The 21,461-nt window shown below is 43.1% G+C and overlaps 1 protein-coding gene and 1 non-coding gene across 63 annotated transcripts in view, besides 3 other annotated features; both read right to left on the bottom strand.

Annotated features, from left to right (window-relative positions):
- IMMT (inner membrane mitochondrial protein) overlaps nucleotides 1–17,884 on the bottom strand; it is a 51,527-nt gene extending 33,643 nt beyond the window's left edge. For 56 of the 62 annotated variants that reach the window (NR_174397.1, NR_174395.1, NR_174400.1 and 53 more), the window contains exons 1-3: nucleotides 17,760–17,884; nucleotides 3,721–3,794; nucleotides 1,855–2,044 (exon numbers count right to left, since the gene is read on the bottom strand). Coding sequence is in view for 42 of the 62 variants with exons in the window: in NM_001400107.1 (NP_001387036.1) it covers nucleotides 1,855–2,044; nucleotides 3,721–3,794; nucleotides 17,760–17,804 (309 nt within the window). In the remaining 20 variants the exon portion in view is untranslated. The remainder of the gene's footprint in view (nucleotides 1–1,854; nucleotides 2,045–3,720; nucleotides 3,795–17,759) is intronic. The other 6 variants (NM_001400119.1, NM_001400137.1, NM_001400118.1 and 3 more) reach the window with 2 other exon arrangements.
- Nucleotides 15,448–15,530, bottom strand: MIR4779 (microRNA 4779). Its single transcript, NR_039939.1, has one exon. It is a non-coding gene; the product is annotated as a microRNA 4779 (primary transcript).
- Nucleotides 17,385–17,434: an enhancer, noted in NCBI's record as "active region_16155". NCBI's record gives its function as "activates an Ori minimal core promoter by ATAC-STARR-seq in GM12878 lymphoblastoid cells {active_cell/tissue: GM12878}" and the evidence as "EXISTENCE:reporter gene assay evidence [ECO:0000049][PMID:35858748]".
- Nucleotides 17,555–17,734: an enhancer, noted in NCBI's record as "active region_16156". NCBI's record gives its function as "activates an Ori minimal core promoter by ATAC-STARR-seq in GM12878 lymphoblastoid cells {active_cell/tissue: GM12878}" and the evidence as "EXISTENCE:reporter gene assay evidence [ECO:0000049][PMID:35858748]".
- Nucleotides 17,755–17,874: an enhancer, noted in NCBI's record as "active region_16157". NCBI's record gives its function as "activates an Ori minimal core promoter by ATAC-STARR-seq in GM12878 lymphoblastoid cells {active_cell/tissue: GM12878}" and the evidence as "EXISTENCE:reporter gene assay evidence [ECO:0000049][PMID:35858748]".

Raw genomic sequence — 21,461 nt, forward strand, 5'->3', positions numbered from 1 at the left:
CGACAGAACGAGACTCTGTCTCAAAAGAAAAAAAAAAGAAAAAAATTTTAAGGCTGGTGAGAAAAAAAGGAATACACACAAAGTTACAGGAATAGTACAAGATATCCTGTCAACTAATCAGCATCTAGATGAAAATTCTGTGACTTTGTGTTATGGTCTAAAAGGAACCATTACTAACCATAATACGTGGTTTTATGTCATGACCATTCTGCACTTGTTTTTATAGTGTTCTAAGTAAGAGCTTGATAGCTGCAACAGTATGGGATAATATATAGATGTCCCCCTCAGTCCATAGGGAAACCATGGTTACCTCTACCCAAGTATCTCCTCCATTTACCCTTGTGTGCAGCACAGTTATTTTCTATGTGATATGTACTGAGAGCACTTATGGGACTCCAAAAGAATAATTATCCATCTGTACCAGCTACTATTAGTTCAATTTAAAGGAAACTGGCGGCCAGGAGCGGTGGCTCAAGCCTGTAATCCCAGCACTTTGGGAGGCAGAGGCAGGTGGATCACGAGGTCAGGAGATCGAGATCATCCTGGCTAACACAGTGAAACCCCGTCTCTACTAAAAAAAATACAAAAAATTAGCCAGGCGTGGTGGTGAGCGCCTGTAGGCCCAGCTACTCAGGAGGCTGAGGCAGGAGAATGGCGTGAACCCGGGAGGCGGAACTTGCAGTGAGCTGAGATCAGGCCACTGCATTCCAGCCTGCGTGACACAGCAAGACTCCATCTCAAAAAAAAAAAAAAGAAAAAAAAAAACTGGCCAGGCATGGTATCTCACACCTGTAATCCCAGCACTTTGGGGGGCCGAGGCAGGCGGACCACAGGTCAGGAGTTCAAGACCAGCCTGGACAACATGGTAAAACCCCGTCCCTACTAAAAATACAAAAAATTAGCCGGGTGTGGTGGCGCCCGCCTATAATCCCAGCTACTTGGAAGGCTGAGGCAGGAGAATCGCTTGAACCCAGGAGGCGGAAGTTGCAGTGAGCCGAGATCACATCACTGTGCTCCAGCCTGGGCAACAGAGCAAGACTCCGTCTTGGAAAAAAAAAAAGAAAACTAACATACATACATCTGGCAAGTTGCACTGCATACAGACAAAACACAACTGGCTCTCCATATCTGTAGGTTCTACATCCATAGATTCAACCAACCACAGATTGAAAAAGTATATTTTTTAAAAAATTGCACCTGAGGCCAGGCATGGTGGCTCATGCCTGTAATCCCAACACTTTGGGAGGCTGAGGCGGGCAGATCACCTGAGGTCAGGAGTTTGAGACCAGTCTGGCCAACATGGTGAACCCCATCTCTACTAAAAATACAAACAATTAGCCGGGCATGGTGGCAGTTGCCTGTAATCCCAGCTACTCGGGAGGCTGAGGCAGGAGAATCGCTTGAACCCGGAGGCGGAGGTTGCGGTGAGGCGAGATCATACCACTATACTCCAGCCTGGTTAACAAGGGTGAAACTCTGTCTCAAAACAAAAACAAAAACAAAAACAAACAAAAACAAACTGCATCTGTACTAAACATGGACAGACTTTTCTTTCTTGTCATCATTCCCTAAATAACACAGTATAATGAAAATTTAGACAGCATTTACAATGTATTAGATATTACATCTAATCTAGAGATGATTTAAAGTATATGGGAGGGTATACATAGGTTATATGCAAACACTGTAACATTTTATATCTGAGACTTGAGCATCCATGGGATTTTTGTATCCACAGGAGGTCCTGAACCTCTCCTTCAAGAATACCAAAAGACAACTGTATTTTCAACATGAAAACAACTTGCTTTTAAAGTATTTCATTGGATAAACTGAAATATTGTTTAAAACTCTTACCGATTTCTTTGGCAATGGAACATTATAAGCTGCAGGACCAAGAACCATCTCGAAGAGTTTGTCTGAGTAAGGTATGGTTTTCTCTACACTTTCCCGGAAATGGGAATCCCATTTGGCATATAGGATAGTGCCACCAATACCTCCACCAACAAACAAAAGGCCAGCTCCAGCAATTTTGCCAGTAGTCAACCTAAGTGAAAGAAACAGGAAATACATTTATATTTCTTGGCTCTCCTACACCTATTTTCCTATACCAATGTAACCATCTCGAAGACCTCTAGCCTCTACTTATCTACCACTAATTCAGATCATAGCAGCCAAGTTTACCACCATGTCTGCACATCACCTTTTCCTGATTTGTTTATAACATGTTGCCACCAAAAATAGTATTTATTCATTTTAGGAGGCCTAGGTGGAAGGGTTGCTTGAGCCCAGGAGTTCAAAACCACCCTAGGCACCACAGTAAGGCCCCATCTCTACCCACCACACCCTGCCAAAAAAATTAGCCAGGTGTAGTAGCACGTGCCCCAGCTACTCAAGAGGCCGAGGTAGGAGGAATGCTTAAGACTGGGAGATGAAGGCTGCTGTGAGCCATGATCATGCCATTGCACTCCAGCCTGGAGCAACAGAACAAGACCTTGTCTCAAAAAATAAATAAATAAATAAATAAAAGTATGAATAACTAAAAATTTTTTTTAAATACAATATCTAGAAATCTACCCTTTAACTCAACATGTTCACAATCATGAGATTCTCTCTGAACCCAAACAAGAACTATCACTTTCAAGGCTCCTCTTCCTCAATCAAACATTTCTATAAACACAATAAACTCTTTTTTTTATTTTTTCTTGAGACAAAGTCTTGCTCTTGTCCCTCAGGCTGGAGTGCGATGGCACGATCTTGGCTCACTGCAACCTCCACCTCCCGGGTTCAAGTGATTCTCCTGCCTCAGCCTCCCGAGTAGCTGGGATTACAGGCATGCGCCACTACGCCCGGCTAATTTTTTTATTTTTAGTAGAGACGGGGTTTCACCAAGTTGGCCAGGCTGGTCTCAAACTCCTGACCTCAGGTGATCTGCCCTCCTCGGCCTCCCAAAGTGCTCGGATTACAAGCGTGAGCCACCACGCCCGGCCTAAACACAATAAACTCTTTACAAAAGATAATAAAATACCAGCCAGCCATGGTGGCTCACACCTGTAATGCCAGCACTTCGAGAGGCCGAGGCGGATGGATCACCTGAGGTCAGGAGTTCAAAACCAGCCTGGCCAACATGGTGAAACCCCGTCTCTACTAAAAATACAAAAATTAGTTGGGCATGGTGACATGCACCTGTAGTCCCAGCTACAGGGGAGGCTGAGGCAGAAAAATCGCTTGAACCTGGGAGGTGGAGGTTGCAGTGAGCCAAGATCCAGCCACTGCACTCCAGCCTGGGCAACAGAGCGAGACTCTGTCTTTAAAAAAAAGAAAAAAAAATAGATAATAAAATGCCAAATAAATTTAACACTTGCTTAAGTCACAATATGAAAAGCTAATAAAATGCCAAATAAATTTAACACTTATTTAAGTTACAACATGCTGAGTTCTGGATATAAATCTATTTGCCATAGAATGGAAGATTGCACATACAAGGAGGGCTATGCCTCGGATGCCATCCAATTACCAAAGAGCCAAAAGGTGCATTATTAACAAATTTTTACCTACAAACAATGCTCCAGAAGGTACCCCAATAATGTTACAGCAAAGCTTCGGTGTATGTACCCCTTTTTAAAAAAAGGTTTAGACAGCTATTCCCATATTCAAGGAAAACACACACTCCCTAAGCAGCACACAGTGAAAAGCCTGGTTATAGGGAGACATAATACATACCCAGAGCTGCCTGAAGTAGAGTATCTGCGGCATGGTCGCAATGGACGGAGGACAAACTTCCCACAGAGACAACTCTAAAGAAGGAAAACACATCACAACCAATACAGTTAAAGGAAACTGGTAAGCTTTTAGGGTTGGTAATACAGAAATAATACTTTTATTAAAAATGTCTTCATTAAACAAAAAATTACTTTTTTTCAGAAGTCAATTTATCATGAACCATATTTATAGATTCCTAAAAGCAGTGATGCTTCTTACACCCCAAGGCTCACATAAAATTACTTTTAATATTAAAAAAAAATTATCAGACTATGATCAATTAGCACCTTTAAATAAGTCTTAAGTATGTTAATTATTTCTTGAATACAATTGGTATTTGCTATATGTTTTCTTAATTGGCAAAAAAAAAAATCTATTTTTACTTTAAAAGCTTAGTTTAGACATCTGAAAAATCACCCACAAAGTCTAGCTAAAAACATGGCGTTACAGGATACACACTCAAGGGACAGATCTAACCTCAGCTAACTGATCCAGAAAACCAGGTTTCTCATCTCTAAGCTAACTATGCAGCTGGTCAACTCCTAGAGGCATTCATTTAAAAGCTGATTTTTGGTTTATCTTAGCATATTGTTAGTCTAAAAGCCAACCATTTTAAGAAAAACATTTTAATTAATGTTGTAAATGTTCAAGTACACCTGTCCCCATATAACTAGTCTATCCTTACATAAAAACAAATGATCAGGGCTATATGGCTTGTGATTGGTTTTAATAAGAGTAAAATACACCTAAATATTTCTTAATAATAAATATGTGGATCTCCTAAATTAAGCAAATGAACAAGCATCTAAATACTATTGGGGAAGGTTTTCATAAACTTTAAACCATTCATACCTATTAATTTGAAAATTTACACTTATCAAATCCATAAAAGTATCTTTTTAAAAAATACTAGGAAAAATCAAACTGCAACAAGAGGAAAAATGCTTTTTCTAGGTTCTTTAATGAAATTGTATTTAACGAATATCAGAATAACACAAACTTCCTTTTAAAAGTATCTATAGTTTTAGGAAAATCTATCACATGATCATAGGACACATGAAATTACTCTAGTTATAATTTACACTCTACTGGCCAAAGCCTAGAGGTAAACAGCTAACTAATGCAGTCATACATTTTGAAAAACAAAAAAACAAATCAGATGTTTTAAAATATGTAAAGCAGATACAACTGGTATTAAAAAGTATTTCAATTATTGACATGGTGGCTCATGCCTGTAATCCCAGCACTTTGGGAGGCTGGCGAGGGTGAGCGGCGCAGGCGGGGATTGCTTGAGCCCAGGACGTCAGAACCAGCCTTGGCAACATGGCAAAACTCCATCTCTACTACAAATACAAAAATTAGCCAGGTTTGGTGGCATGTGCCTATAGTCCCAGATACTTGGGAGGCTGAGGCATGAGAATCACTTGAGCTTGAGCCCCGGAGGTGGAGGTTGCAATGAGCCAAGACTGTGTCACTCCACTCCAGCCTGGGCAATAGAATGAGACCCTGTCTCCTCCACTCCCCTTAAAAAAAAAAACAAAAACAAAAACAAAAAATACCAAACAAACAAAAAAAACCCAGTATTTCAATTATTACCTACCCTGTAGAATTCCCAACATTTTTGAACCATTTTTAATAGAAAAGGGTGTTTTCCTTCTATTCTGTAAAGTAGTATGAAATTGTAAACAGAAATGCATCTATTTTTATATGTCAACAATTCCATTTTTGTGACTTAGGGAGAAAATATTAAGAGGCCACTGAAGTTGTATTATATTTAAGGTTGCATTTTTTATCTGTCTAGGTATAAATAGGTATTCAGGTAAAAAGTTAAGGCACTGTCAACAGTGGATAATTAGCTAACTGGAGTATCAAGCAGCAAGCACAATGGATAACTGACTCCAGGAAATCAGGGACAAATTTAATACTAGAGTTTCAGACTACCCAAAGTCACATCAGTTTTTCTTTAAATAATTTTTTTTGTTGTTTGTAGAGACCAGGTCTTGCTATGTTGACCAGGCTGGTCTCGAACTCCTGGTCTCAACCTATTCTCCTGCCACGGCCTCCCAAAGTGTTGGAATTACAGGCATGAACAACCACGCCCAGCATCAGTATTTTTAAATGTTTCTTTATCTACCTTCTATTTTCTTTTATCTTGACTCTCCATCCTCCCTTTGACAGAATGTGTTTTGACTATAAGTTAAAAGCTCCTAATACTAAATAAATTTAAAATCTGAGGTTTTAAATAATAATTTTAAAAGTTTAAATATGCATAGAGTAAAATCTTCCTCATACTTCTTTCCCCAGCCACCCCATGCTTGCCATAGGCAACTGACACTGTCAGTTTCTTATTTATCCAGAGACATTTTATGTATATTTATTCAAATGTGCATATTCTCCTGACTTTCCCCACCTTTACACAAATGATACCATAATATACACGCAATTCTCTATTAAAGTTCAAGGATATATATTTTAAATCACTGTATATCAGTACGTGAAAAGCTTCCCAAGGGATTTCATGATTTGGTATTCCATTGTTACTTAATGTTTAATTGTTAACCAGCCCCTATTGAGGGACACTGAGGTTTTTTCTAAATTTTTGTTAAAATAAATAATGCTACCTGAGTAACACTGTATACACAATTTTGGGTCTATTCTTAAAAGTAAAATTTGCCACGTTGATTAATACTGCCAAATTAGCCAAACTGCCCTCTAGTAATATGAAAGTATGTTTTCCCACATTTTCTCCAACACACTGTATTGTATCATTTTTTTTTCATCATTGACAATCTGAGGGGTGAAAATACAGAAATAGAGTGTTTCAAGCATATAAATAATTTTTTTTTTAAGAGACTGAGTCTTGCTCTGTTGCCAAGGTTGTGGAATGCAGTGGTATGATCATAGCTCACTGTAACCTCTAACTCCTGGGCTCAAGTGATCCTCCAGCCTCAGCCCCCTGAGTAGCTGGGACTACAGGCACATGCCCACCATACCCAGCTAATATTTTTGTTCTTGTTTTTTATAGAGCCAGGTCTGCTATGTTACCCAAGCTAGTTTTGAACTCATGGCCTCAAGCAATCCTCCTACCTTGGCCTCTCAAAGCACTGAGTAATTTTTATTTACATAATTTATATATTAATACGTTTGTTATTGTTAATATAATAATTATAATTACACTGCTATTTAATACCACTAAGTTTAGGGTGGTCTGTTACACAGCTACAGATAACCAAACATATGTTTATACCTAGAAGAGGGGTGCTACTGCAACAAAACATAAACACGAGGTCATGACTTTGGGACTGGTGTTGGGGGCGGCAGAAGCTGAAGAACCTTGAAGAGACTGTGAGCAGAAGCCTAATGGCCTTCCAGAGCCTGTTGGTGAGGGCTTAAAGAAAAGCAAAAAAAAAAAAAAATTTTGGAACCTGGAGGAAAAGATATTCTTGTTATGTAGTGACAGAAGTTTATCAAAACTGTCATCTGTAATGACAGACATGGAAAATAGAAAATTAAGTATAGCTGTAGCTACACCTAATGAACTGACGTACTTGGCTAAAGAGTTCCAAGTAGGCCAGGCGCGATGGCTTACGCCTGTAATCCCAGCACTTTGGGAGGCCGAAGCGGGCGGATCACAAGGTCAGGAGATTGAGACCATCCTGCTGAACATGGTGAAACCCCGTCTCTACTAAAAATACAGAAAATTAGCCGGGCGTGGCAGTGTGCGCCTGTAGTCCCAGCTACTCGGGAGGCTGAGGCAGCATGAACCCGGGAGGCAGAGCTTGCAGTGAGCCGAGATTGCGCCAGCCTGGGTGACAGAGCCAGACTCTGTCTTAAAAAAAAAAAAACAAAAGAGTTCCAAGTATAGTGTTCATCACAAGCGCTAACTGGTTTCTTTTAGCTGAGTATGATAAGGACAGAGATAAGCATTAAAAAACAAAACAAAAACCTGTTTTGCTTTCAAGCAAAATTTAAAGGAAATATAAAAGAGTCAGGATTTGGTGGGTTCAAAAATAAAACTGCTTATTGTTTTCAAATAGATTCTCAAATAGAGAAGGGCTTCAAGCCAAAGATCAAATCTAGTGTGTGACCAAAAGATACTTTGAGATCTCAAAAAGATCTAAGGAGGTGCCCCTCAGAGAGTCTTTTTACCTTGAGGAAAAGGCCCTCTAAGAATCATAAGGATGTGTTTCCCAGATTCTATTGAATCAATAAGGTTACTCAGAACATTAAAGGTGTTACCTACAGCAGCCTCACAGGAAGCCCAAAATGGAGAAGGGCTTATCTTGATAAGATGTGTATCATGCATCTAATGAAGAAAATCCCATTAAGATTCACAGGAAACCCACAAACTTGTTGAGAATTGTGTCAATAAAAAACATGCTGGCTTATATTTAAAGTGAAAAAGAGGACAAAATGAAAAGAAGCTTCTAGACAAACTTCTACAGACAGGAAGTAGGCTGTGAAACAATTCAGCTGTAACAGACAACATATTCTGGAAACGGAAGAATAATTCAAGTGTAAAACCAGGAGCCCAAAGGGTAGAACCAAGAGCTGAGGAGAATCATTCCCAAGCAGTAGGACTGAGCTCTCATCAAGGAATTAGAAACATAGGGCCAGCTGAATTTTACACTTGTTATGGAATGGTGACTGCTGTGTGCCTCTTAGTTTCTGCCTTTTTGAATAGGAGTGTCTAGAGTGATTATCCTGTGTCTGTCATACCACCATATGCTGAATGTATGGGGAGCAGATAATTTGTCTCTTTAGTTTACAGGGCTTTAGATCACCAAAAAAAGTGTTTAAGAAGCTATACCCTAGGGACCACATTCAAGATGTCTTATCCATAGTAGGATCTGATTCAGATGACAAGATCTTGTTCCTAATGCTGATGCTTTGATGGCATTAGACTCTGGAGAGTCTTGGAGAAGGTTGTGAGTGGGAGGGATGTGCATGTGGGAGGGATGTCAGTTGGGTCCAGAAGGCTGAGGATAATATCCAAAATTGACTGCAACAATACTTCCTATACCACATGCTGTTCCAGAAACGTGCCCCTCTCCCAACAATAATAAGTTTTATGTACACTTCCCTTAAACAAGGGCAGGCCTTTGTTACTAATTCACTAATAGAAGGCAGTGAAAGTGATGCTCTGTAACTCCTGAGACTAAGACATAAAAAGGATACAGCTTCTACCTAGCTCTGCCTCTTGTCACACTTGCCCTTGGAACCCAGCCACCAAAGTGTATGGAAGTCCAGACACTTAAAGATGCCACAGATGGGTGATCCAGCCAACAGTCCCTGCTGAGGTGTCAGCTGCAGCCAGTATTTACTGCCACACATGAGAGTAAAGAAGACTTGGGGATGACTGTAGACCTAGTAACTATCTGACTGCAACTTCATGAGGGTCTCTGAGCAAAAATTTTCCAGAACTGAGTAAGGCAATAAATACTGTTATTTTACCCCAAGCTCAAGGTGGCCTGTTATGCAGCTGTAACTCATAAGAACAGATCTTTTTAAATTCATGGATTTAAACACTTTTGATGGATTTCAACCATTTGTAATTACTGTCTTTTTGCTCAAATTTTCCTATCTTGGGCCAATGGAAGCCTCTGCAAGTTTAGGGTGTGTATGTGTGTATCTAGCTCTGGCTCTATACTTCCGGCCATCTGCAAATACCTGGTGGCAGGTATTTTTTTTTTCCTCTATGTGACAAAATCCCCTTAACATAAAATTCACCATTCTAACCATTTTAAAATGTACAATTCCACGGTATTTAGTACATCCACGATGTTGTACAACAACCATCACCACTATCTAATCTTAGAACATTTTCATCACCCTAAAAGGAAATCCTATATCCATTAAGCAGTCATCCCCCATTTTCCTCTCTCTCTGGCCCCTGGCAACCACCATGTACTTTCTGTTTCTATGAATCTGCCTGTTTGAGATATTTTGTATAAATGGAATCACACAATGTACATCTTTTTGTCCAGCTTCTTTCACTTAGTGTAATGTTTTCACGATTCATTCACATTGTAACATGTATCACATATGTAGCTTGTACTTCATTCCTTTTTATGGCTGAATCTAATATTTTATCACGTAAATATACCATATTTTGTTTAACCAGTCATCAGTTAATGGACATTTGGGTTGCCTCACCTTTTGGCTGTGAATTGTGAATAATGTTGCTATGAATATTCATCTAAAAGTTTTTGTTTGAACACCTGTTTTTTATTCTTTTGGCAGGGAACTTCAAGGTCATATGGTAATTCTATGTTTAAATTACTGAGACACAGCCAGGCTCAGTCGCTCACGCCTGTAATCCCAGCACTTTGGGAGGCTGAGGCAGGCAGATCACCTGAGGTTGGGAATTCGAGACCAGCCTGACCAACATGGAGAAGCCCCGCGTCTCCAGTAAAAATACAAAATTAGCTGGGCGTGGTGGCGCATGCCTGTAATCCCAGCTACTCGGGAGGCTGAAGCAGGAGAATCCCTTGAACCCAGGAGGTAGAGGTTGCGGTGAGCCGAGATCGCGCCACTGCACTCCAGCCTGGGCAACAAGAGTGAAACTCTGTCTCCAGAAAAAAAAAAAAAAGTTACTGAGACACCACTAAACTATTTTTTCACAGCAGCTGTACCATTTTACATTCCCACTAGCAATGTATGAGGGTTCCAATTTCTCTATACCCTCACCAACATTTGTTATTTTCCATTTTTGTTTTGAGATGGAGTTTTGCTCTTGTCGCCCAGGCTGGAGTGCAATGGCGCAATCTCAGCTCCCTGCAACCTTCGCCTCCCGGGTTCAAGTGATTCTCCTGCCTCAGCCTCCCAAGTAGCTGGGATTACAGGTGTGTACCACCATGCCCGGCTAATTTGTTATTTTCCATTTTTATTATAACCATCTTAGTGGTTGTGAACTGAGTATCTCACGGTTTTAATTTGCATTTCCCTAGTGTCAAAGGATGTTGAGCATCTTTCCATGTGCTTCTTAGCCATCTGTATATCTGCTTTGGATGAATGGCTATTCAAGTCCTTTGCTCATGCATACACATACACGCACACACGCGCACACACACACGCACACAAATACATATATGTATATATGTGGAGACAGCATCTCACTCTGTCACCGAGACTGGAGTGCTGTGGCACCATCATGGTTCACTGCAGCCTCGACCTCACAGGCTCAAGCAATCCTCCCACCTCTCAGCCTACCGAGTAGCTAACACTACAGGTGCATGCCACCACACCCAGCTAATGTTTGTATTTTTTGTAGAGACAGAGTTTCACCATGTTGTCCAGGCTAGTCTTGAACTCCTGCGCTCAAGCGTTCTGCCTGCCTCAGCTTCCCAAAGTGCTGGGATGACAGGCATGAGCCACAGAGCCTGGGCCCTTTGCCTGTATTTTTATTTGGGTAGTCTTTTTTGTTACTGAGTTGCAGGAGTTCCTTACCTAAAAAGAAACACCTCATCAGATATGAGGGTCTAGTATCCAAAATATCTAGTATCCATTAGAATACTTTCATCCTTTTCACTCTCAAGTATCCCTCTGATGCACAAAAATTTAAAATTTTAATGAAGTCCAATTTATCTTTAGTTTCTCTTGTTGCTTGTGCTTTTGGTGTTATAGTTAAGAAACCATTGCCAAACATAAGGTCTGTCTCCAGAGCTCTCTTAAGTACTAAACTATTAACATAAACTAAATATCCTACATTAACACACAAAATATTGGCTACTTTTTTGTCCTGGAATTCCTTTTTATTAATAAGGACCTATGACATAGAAAGGACAACACTGTTTCAAAGCAATCTGTCTAGACATATGTTATAAGGTTAGCCTTGCTGCTTCTAACCCGCAGAAACGTGATATTAAAAAAAAGAGGAAACATATAATTCCCATGTAATGTTCTTTTTTTTTTTGAGATGGAGTCTCGCTGTGACACCCAGGCTGGAGTGCAATGGTGTGATCTCGGCTCACTGCAACCTCCATCTCCTGGGTTTAAGAGATTCTCCTGCCTCAGCCTCCCGGGCAGCTGGGATTACAGGCACCTGCCACCACACCCGGCTAATTTTTGTATTTTTAGTAGAGACGGGGTTTCACCATATTGGCCAGGCTGGTCTTGAACTCCTGACCTCAAGTGTTCCGCCCCATGATTAATGCTGTTACACAGACCATCTGTTCCTTAGCTCTACCAAACTAAAGTGAAGACATAAAGAAACCACAATCTAGCATGACAACCTGGACATGGAGCCTGTAGTATGAGCTGCCTCATGTGAACTCTAACTAGAGGTTCCAGGTTTCCTCCACAGACTGCTGGTTGCTGTCAACTGATAACGTTTTTGTGGATCTTGTCATACATAAGGACTCCTCCCACACAAACGAAAAAGGCACCCATAAGTTAATGGGCAGTTCTACATTTGAAATATAGATTGATATACAACAAATTAACTTTTTCTACTGTTAATTTAAAATAGTTTATAAGAATCATGCATTAAGGTTAAAAAGTATATCCCACAAAAAAATCCAGTAAGTTTTTACATTGAAATTTTACATTTTACATTACAATTTTACATTGAAGCAGCATTACATTTCAGTATAAACATATTCTATTCTAGGAGAACACGTGCTCTTTAGTTATAGAAATGGCAGATACTTATCAGTATGACAAAAGCAGGAACTTGACACTTTAGTTTTCCCTGCACATATGTGAATATATTTTGTATGTTATCACTTCGGTGTAGTAAGTTACGGCGTAAGATGTATTTCAAAATGGTTTGAAGGCTACTGGTCTAGAGATATGAAAAAAGGAACAATGAAGAGGATTCTAGCATGGGTAGAAGCAAACACCTGGCCGCATGATCTACTAAACTACTTTCTAGCACGTGTGGTTGGCTGCCTATCTCTATCACTGAGTAACATAATGTTTCATAATCCTAACAGAAAGAAGGAATTCTAGAAGATGATAGCTCATGTCCACACACAAGTTCAATCCTAAACTAGCTGGGTTATCAAACTTGGTCTTAAGTAAGCTGGAGCGGTTGATCCTCAAGAATAATAATGTTTCTTCTTCTTCTTTCAAGTTATAAGCAGGAAAGACTACTCCATATGTAAATGACCACTTCCAGGTTTGTAGTTTGAGAGAAGGCTAGGCTAGGCGGAAAGCCCATGTCCTCCAAACTCAATGACCACTTCAAAAAGGCTGGGCCTGGTGATGCAGTATTGGGACTAAGAGAAGAAAGATGGTGTTAGGTCTGAGGAATAAAAGAAGAAAACAAAAACAGAGGGACCAGAGTTCTAAAGCACATTTACTGAATACCCACATCTAAGGAATGCAAGGATGATAAGCCCAAACATAAAGAATAAGGCAGATACTGTGTCGGGTGCAGTGACTTAAGCCTGTAATCCCAGCACTTTGGGAGCCCAAGGCGGGCAGATCACGACGTCAGGAGATCGAGACCATCCCGGCTAATATGGTGAAACCCTGTCTCTACTAAAAATACAAAATATTAGCTGGGCACAGTGGCACGTGCCTGCAGTCCCAGTTACTCGAGAGACTGAGGCAGGAGAATTGCTAGAACCCAGGAGGCGGAGGTTGCAGTGAGCCGAGATTGCACCACTGCATTCCAGCCTGGGCAAAGAATAAGGTAGATACTATCTGTGATGGTTCATTTTATGTGTCAACTTGGACTGTGTTTTTGGATGAGATTAACATTTTAATTGGTGAACTAGTGGCCAGGCATGGTGGCTCACTCCTGTAATCCCATCACTTTGGGAGGCAAAGGCGGGTGGATTGCTTGAGCCCAGGAGTTTGAGACCAGCCTGGGTAATATAGCCTGTCTCTACAGAAAAAAAAATACAAAAGTTAGCTGGGTGTGGTGGTGCATGCCTGCAGTCCTAGCTACTCAGGAGGCTGAGGTGGGAGGATGGCTTGAGTCTGGTGGATGGAGGTTGTAGTGAGCTGAGATTGCACCAATGCACTCCAGCCTGGGTGACAGAGCAAGACCCTATCTCAAAAAAAAAAAAAAAAAAATTTGCCCTATAACATGGGTGGGCTTCATTCAATCAGTTGAGGGCTCAAAAACAACAAAAAGCAAGAGGCAATTCTCTAGCAGACTGCCTCCAGACTGAAACTGCACCATCCACTCTCCTGGGTTTCCAGGCTGCTGGCCAGCAGACTGCAACTGCAATATTGGCTGTCCTAGGTCTCCAGTCTGCCAAACCACACAGCAGATTCTGGACTTGCCAGTCTCCATAACTGTGTGAGTAGAGTCCTTACAATAAATCTTTCAGCCAGGCGCGGTGGCTCACGCCTGTAATCCCAGCACTTTGGGAGGCCAAGGTGGGGGGATCACAAGGTCAGGAGATCGAGACTATCCTGGCTAACACGGTGAAACCCCGTCTCTACTAAAAATACAAAAAAAAAAAAAAAAAAAAAATTAGGCGTGGTGGCAGGCGCCTGTAGTCCCAGCTACTTGGGAGGCTGAGGCAGGAGAATGGCATGAACCCGGGAGGCGGAGCTTGCAGTGTGCTGAAATGGCGCCACTGCACTCCAGCCTGGGTGACAGAGCAAGACTCCATCTCAAAAAAAATTAATAAATAAATAATAAATCTTCCTAGGCTGGGCACTATGGCTCACGCCTGTAATCCCAGCACTTTGGGGAGGAGAAGGTGGGGATATTGCTTGAGCCCAGAAGTTCAAAATGAGCTGGAACAACATTGCGAGATCCCATCTCTACTAAAAGTCCAAAACATTGGCTGGGCATGGTGGCATAAGCCTGTAGTCCCAGCTACTCAGGAGGTGAGGTGGGAGGATCGCTTAAGCCCAGGAGATTGAGACTGCAATGAGTTATGATCACACTGCTGTACTCCAGCCTGGGCAACAGAATGAGACCCTATCTCTACACACACACACACACCCTTATTGTTTCTGTTTCTCTGGAGAATCTGAATATATAATCAGAGGTTTGAAAATCTATGGGATGTTTAAAGGGAGGTCACATCCACTTACACAGATTAAGAAAAATTCCACTTTGGGAGGCCGAGGTGGGCATATCACTTGAGCCCAGAAGCTGAAGACCAGCCTGGGAAACATAATGAGACCCCATCTCTAAAAAATCTTTTTAAATTAAAAAAAAATTCATGAACACATTCATTCTTTCATTTATATATGTCATAAACATTCACTGAGCATCTACTTGGAGCCAGGGACTATTGTTAATACTGGAAATACAGCAGTAAATATGGACACAGTTCCATTGTGGAGCTTACTTTTTAAAGGTGGAAACTGTGTAATAAATACACATTATAACATCAGGTAGTGCTAGGAGCTACAAAGTATAACAAAGTAGGATGGGGTAAAGATATAGTGATACAAGGAAGGCAAGAGTAGTCAGAATTCTATTTTGGATCAGGATGCCCTCTCTGAAGGGAAGGTGACATTTGAGAAATTAACTGAAGGGAATAAGTTAAGCAAACCTGTGAGAAGAGTTCAGGGCAAAAGAAACACCTGATGAAAAGGCAGTGAGGCACATGCTGGAGATTACCAGGAGAATCTGAGTGAGGCAGTAGAAAAATGAAATATGAGAAGAGTCAGATCAAGGGCCCATGGTAAGCAGTTTAGATTTTATTTTGAATGTGATGCGATGTCTCCAAAGAGCATGACCTCATGTTTGCCTTTTAAAAAGCCTTTTACTAAATGTCTTACTGCTTTTACTATTCCCTCCTAGAGTAAAGAATGGACTCTAGGAGGGAACAGTAAAAGCAGTAAGACATTTAAGAAGATGGGGTTGGCTGGGCACGGTGGCTCGTGCCTATATTCCCAGCATTTTGGGAGGCAGAAGTGGGAGGATCATTTGAGCCCAGGAGTTCGAGACCAGCCTGGCCAACACAGAGAGACTCCGTCTCTACAAAAATTTTTTAAAAAATTAGCCAGGGATGGTGGCACATGCCTGTGGTCCCAGCTACTCAGGAGGCTGAGGTAAGAGGATTGCTTGCGCTCAGGAGGTCAAGGCTGCAGTGAGCCATGACTGTGCCACTGCACTCCAGCCTGGGTGACAAAGTGAGACTCCGTATCCAAAAAAAAAAAAAGAAAGATGGGGTTTAATAAAGTGGAAAGGATCTTGACAAGTGAGATATTCTGGATACGTTGATACAATCAAATACGACGAGGCTAGAGAGTCACCTGCTTGGGGATTAAAGTTCTGAGAGTTGATGTAATCTCAAATTAGAGAGTCTATAAAGAGACAGGAAGAGATGAGAAGGTGTATATTTCGAGGTACAAAGCAGAAGCAGACTCAGTAAAGGAAAACAAGAGAGATGGGACCCAAAATATTACTTGAGAGAAGCCAAAAGTACAAAGAGCCTCATAAAGCAGCAATGTCAAATGCTACAGAATTAAGGAGATGGTGAGAATAAACCAAAGAATTTTACAAGACAGCAATTTCAAGAAGCTTAGACATCTTGATTCAGAGCTATAAAAGGGTTCATTTTTTATTACCAAGTTTTAATTAGTTTTCTTAATTCCCAAATGGGATCCCAAAAAGTTGACTCTGAATTAACTGAAAAGGAGGTCATCCAGGTGGGCCTGGTCTAATCACATAAGCCTTTTAAATCTGGGTCTAGAGAGGAAAGACCAAAGTAAAAGAAATTTGGAAGTCAGAGAGGCAAGCTCCTGGTAGCCTGCACGAAAGCAAACATCAATGTTATGAATGGCCTCTAGAGGCCTTGAGGCAAGGAACTGTAGGCAGGCTGTAGAAGCTGGGAGCAGTGGCTGGCAAGAGGCAGCAAGAAAAGAAGTACTTCAGTCCTGTAACTGCAAGGGACTGAATTCTGCCAACAAACTGCATGAGCCTGGAAGAGGACCCTGATCTCCAAATGAGAACCACAGCATGGCTAATACTTTGCAGCCTTATGTGACCTGGAGCGGAGAACACAGATCATCCGTGCCCAGACTTCTATCCTACAGAACCCGTAAGGTCATTCATGGGTGTTGTTTTAAGCTGCTAAATTTGTGGTATTTGTTACGCAGCAATAGAAAACTAACACAGGTTCGTTCCACTTTCCTATGGAAGGGGCTGCTTCTGTTACCTAGCAGCAAATAGGAAGAGAAGCGAACTTGAAAAAACAAAGCTTGACTTTTATGATCTCTAACTCACTATTCCTAGGGATTCTGTTCAATTACTGCTTGAGTCACAGTACTTGGTTTGCTATCTACATTTTGCCAAAATATCAACTTCCTGAAAATCATGAGCAGTGGAAACAGGCTTTTTAATTTTCAATTTTAGAAAGTAACTTTGGCAATTACGCAAAACTAGAAGTAACTGGGTATTTAGGCTCCTTGAATGTCAAAGTAGTCCCAGCGCCTGGAGACACAGATCCCTGCCCTAATCTCAGAAATGAGCCACAAGGTCATGACTCCTGTCTTTCCTTGAAGACCAGGAGTTTCAGCTCCACAAATGAAAATCTTTCGCTTTTGTTTGGATTAAGAATAACTCAGAAGTGTTCTCAGCTGCGAAAAGAAAGGCACTCCCTCCCAGATAATTACAACCTTGACCCCTAAAATGTGGACTCTCGCTAGAAGTCCAGGCACCTCCTTATTAAGGATGCAACAAGCCGCCGCTCCGCTCGTCCTGACGGGAACTGTAGTTCTCGCCCGTCGACCTTCAGCACTGAAAACCTATCGCGCGCCCAACCGGCGACCCAGACGCCAGCAGCCAGGATTGGTCCTGGACGGGGGCAGCGCGGCCCTGATTGGACTACATGCCCACGAAGCCGCGCCTCCCGCTACTCTCCACACCCCACCCCGCTGCTGCAATAACCTCAAGTCATCCCAGTCCGGCGAACTCCCTGGTGGCTGCCTAGCTGCCCGCCCGGGCCTCTCCCGACGAGGGTGGCCCTGAGGCTCGCCTTTGTCCTGGAGGCTAGGCAGCGACCAAGGCTCCCCCGTTTTTCGCTGACGGTTCTAGTTCAGCCTCCTCACGCGCCTCCGGGAGCCCCAGTGCTCACCTGGGCGGCGGCGGTCACACCCGATAACTGACAGGCCCGCAGCATCTCGGTCAAGCGGACGGCGCTGCTGGTGGACTCGAGCTGCCGCGGCGGCGCGAGTTAAGTGGAGGCGTGCTTGCGTGTGTGCGTGCCCGCGTCCGCGCCCGGCGCACCGGAAGCACAGCGGACGCCACTGCGCACGCGCGGCCCCTTCTACCGTCCCCGACTCCGCGGCTCTTAGAGGGTGGGCTGTGTCCCGGCTGCGGAAACGCCAACTCCAGGCGATTGGCGCGAAGGAGGCGAAAAGGGCGGATTCCCTTTCCGGGTCGCGCCCGGGCTGCAGGTCCTTATCCGGAAGGGGTTACTAGGTGAACACTGCCGGAGGGAGAGCGCTCTGAAATCCATTCTTCAGCCGCACGTGGAAAATGGACAGCTGTGACTCTTAAAGAGAATTAAAGCAACAAAGCATCTCAGCCTGCTCTATGAGCTGGATATTTCGTAGGAAGGAGCCGATTTGGCGAAAGTTACGTAAACAATGGAATTGTCTCAGTTTGCGCCTTTGTTTCGTTTGACAGCCCTCCAGGGAGTCATAGTGATTGCTGGAGACGGTGAACTAACACTGTGGGGACCCTTGTGCTAAACGTGTCAAGTGGCACAACAAGGATAGGAACACGGGTCCTTTGGACTCCACAGCTTCTGCTCCTTCCAGATTAAGCCACACTGCTTTCTCCAAGTTGTTACTGTAGTAACATCATTTTGGCTGCAGTTTGTGGATGGGTTGGAAGATGGGAAGTCAATGCAGAAGCACCGTTGAAAGTATTCCACTGGGCAGGGCGCGGTGGCTCACGCTTGTAATCCCAGTACTTCGGGAGGCCGAAGCGGGAGGATCGCTTGAGCCCAGAGGTTCGATACCAGGCTGGGCAACACAGTGAGACCTCGTCTCTATATAGAAAAATAAACAAACAAAAAATTTAAAAAGAAAAGTAGGGCCAGGAGCTATGACTCACGCCTGTAATCCCAGCACTTTGGGAGGCCAAGGCGGGTGGATCGCCTGAGGTCAGGAATTCGAGACCAGCCTGGCCAAAATAGTGAAACCCCGTCTTTACTAAAAATACAAAAAATTAGCTGGGCATGGTGGCGGGTGCCTGTAATCCCAGCTACTCGGGAGGCTGAGGCAGGAGAATTGCTTGAGCCCGGGAGGCGGAGGTTGCAGTGAGCCGAGATCACGCCATTGCACTCCAGCCTGGGCAACAAGAGCGAAACTCTGTCTCAAAAAACAAAAGTATTCCATTGATTCTGTAATCAAAATAAAACACGTTAAATATTAAGCATGGTATTAATACTCCATGTATACTCCAGAATTAATATGTTCGTATTAATACTATTAGCATCTTATTGCAATATCGTGGAAACTAACTTTTCTATCTTCTATTGGATTTGCAAAGTATTCCAAGTCTTAACTGGGTAATTTATTACAATATGTATTCTCTCTAGAGGTAGACTGCGCTATGACTTGTAGCATGGAGAGATGGACTTGAAAATTATCTGAAAGCAATAGTTATGTTTGTATATGTTCTATGTTCTATGGTTTTTAGGGGACTACAGTAATTACATATGTTTCATATCTCTTTCACTTAGCTTCCAGAGCAGTCTCCCGTTTTCTTTAGTAATTTTAGCAATTGAATTGCTGCCTCCCTGCCCACTGCTGTCATGCCCAGTGGTGCCGGTGTGATGACTTTTCTAACACCCTTGTCTTTGAACTTCTTAATGCCAGTGAACGCTTTCATCCTGCTTCAGTCATGTGGTGCCCGTGTGATGACTTTTCTAACACCCTTGGCTTTGAATTTGTCAATGCCAGTGAATGTTTTCATCCTGCTTCAGTCATGTACGTCACAGCCACAACTTGCGCCTGAACATCATTAGCAACCTCTCTAGCTTCAAGATCTCAAACCTCAAAATTAGCCTCCCAACCCCTCATAACCTACGTGGAGAGTCCTCACTCTCCACTTGGAAGTTGTCAATATTTTTGCTTTAAAATGTTATCAGGCAGGCCAGGCGCTGTGGCTCACACCTGTAATCCCAGCACTTTGGGAGGCTGACGCGGGCGGATCACCTGAGGTCAGGAATTCGAGACCAGCCTGGCCAACATGGTGAAACCCCGTCTCTACTAAAAATACAAAAATTAGCTAGGCTTGGTGGTGCGCGCCTGTAATCCCAGCTATGTGGGAAGCTGAAGAAGGAGAATCACTTGAACCTGGGAAGCAGAGGTTGCAGTGAGCCAAGATCACACCACTGCACTCCAGCCTGGGGGACAAAGCGAAACTCCGTCTCAAAAAAAAAAAATTTGTTACCAGGGGCTGGGTGTGGTGGCTCATATCCCGGCATTTTGGCAGACTGAGGTGGGAGGATCACTTGAGCCCAGGAGTTTGAGACCTGCCTGAGCAAAAGAGTGAGACCTCTCCCAGCACTTTGGGAGGCCGAGGCGGGCGGATCATGAGGTCGGGAGATCGAGACCATCCTGGCTAACACGGTGAAACCCCGTCTCTACTAAAAAAAATAATAATAATACAAAAAATTAGCTGGGTGTGGTGGCAGGCACCTGTAGTCCCAGCTACTTGGGAGGCTGAGGCGGAGAATGGTGTGAACCCGGGAGGCGGAGCTTGCAGAGAGCCAAGATCGCACCACTGCACTCCAGCCTGGGCAACAGAGCGAGAGTCTGTCTCCAAAAAAAAAAAAAAAAAAAAAAAAAAAAAAAAAAGTGAAACCTCATCTCTATAAACAATTTTTTTAAATTAGCAGGGGATGATTGTGCATGCCTGTGGTGCCAGCTACTTGGAAGGCTGTGGTGGGAGGATCCCTTGAGCTCAGGAATTCCAGGCTGCAGTGATTGCACCACTGCACTCAGACCCTGTCTCTAAAAAACAAAATTTAAATCAAGTCACTCACTTGTTCAAAAATGTGCAGTGAGGCCAGGCTCAGTGGCTCACACCTGTAATCCCAGCACTTTGGGAGGCCAAGGTGGGAGACCTGTTTGATTCCATACCAAATAATTGAGACCACCCTGGGCAACATAGTGAGACCTAGGTCTCTACAAAAAATTTAAAAATTAGCCAGGTGTGTGCCTGTAGTCTCAGCTACTCAGGAGGCTTAGGTGGGAGGATTGCTTGAGCCTAGGAGGTCGAGGCTGCAGTGAGCTGTGATCGCACCACTGCACTCAAGCCTTCGCAACAGACCAAGACCTAGTCTCAAAAAAAAAAAAAAGTGCGCAATGACTCCCGTTGCCAATTCAAAGAGCTTTTATGAATGTTTCAATATACTTGTCTAGCGTATGTGCCTGTTTTTGGACTCAAAGTGGCCACCATAGGTGGGAGATCAAGTTGGCAACAATAGTGTTCCAAGGTAATACACCCTATATCTTGCTCTGTACCCCAGGCTGGAGTGCGGTGGCTCAATCTTGGCTTGCTGCAACAACCGCCTCCCAAGTTCAAGCGATTCTCCTGCCTCAGCCTCCCGAATAGCTGGAACTACAGGCGCGCGCCACCACGCCCGGCTAATTTTTTGTACCCCTTAGTAGAGACGGGGTTTCACCCTGTTAGCCAGGATGGTCTCAATCTCCTGACCTCGTGATCTGCCCGCCTCGGCCGCCCAAAGTGCTGGGATTACAGGCGTGAGCCACCGCGCCCGGCAAGAATTTTTTTTTTTTTTTTGAGATGGAGTTTCGCT

This window comes from Homo sapiens, chromosome 2 (assembly GCF_000001405.40).
Source record: "Homo sapiens chromosome 2, GRCh38.p14 Primary Assembly".
Taxonomy (NCBI): Eukaryota; Metazoa; Chordata; class Mammalia; order Primates; family Hominidae; genus Homo; species Homo sapiens.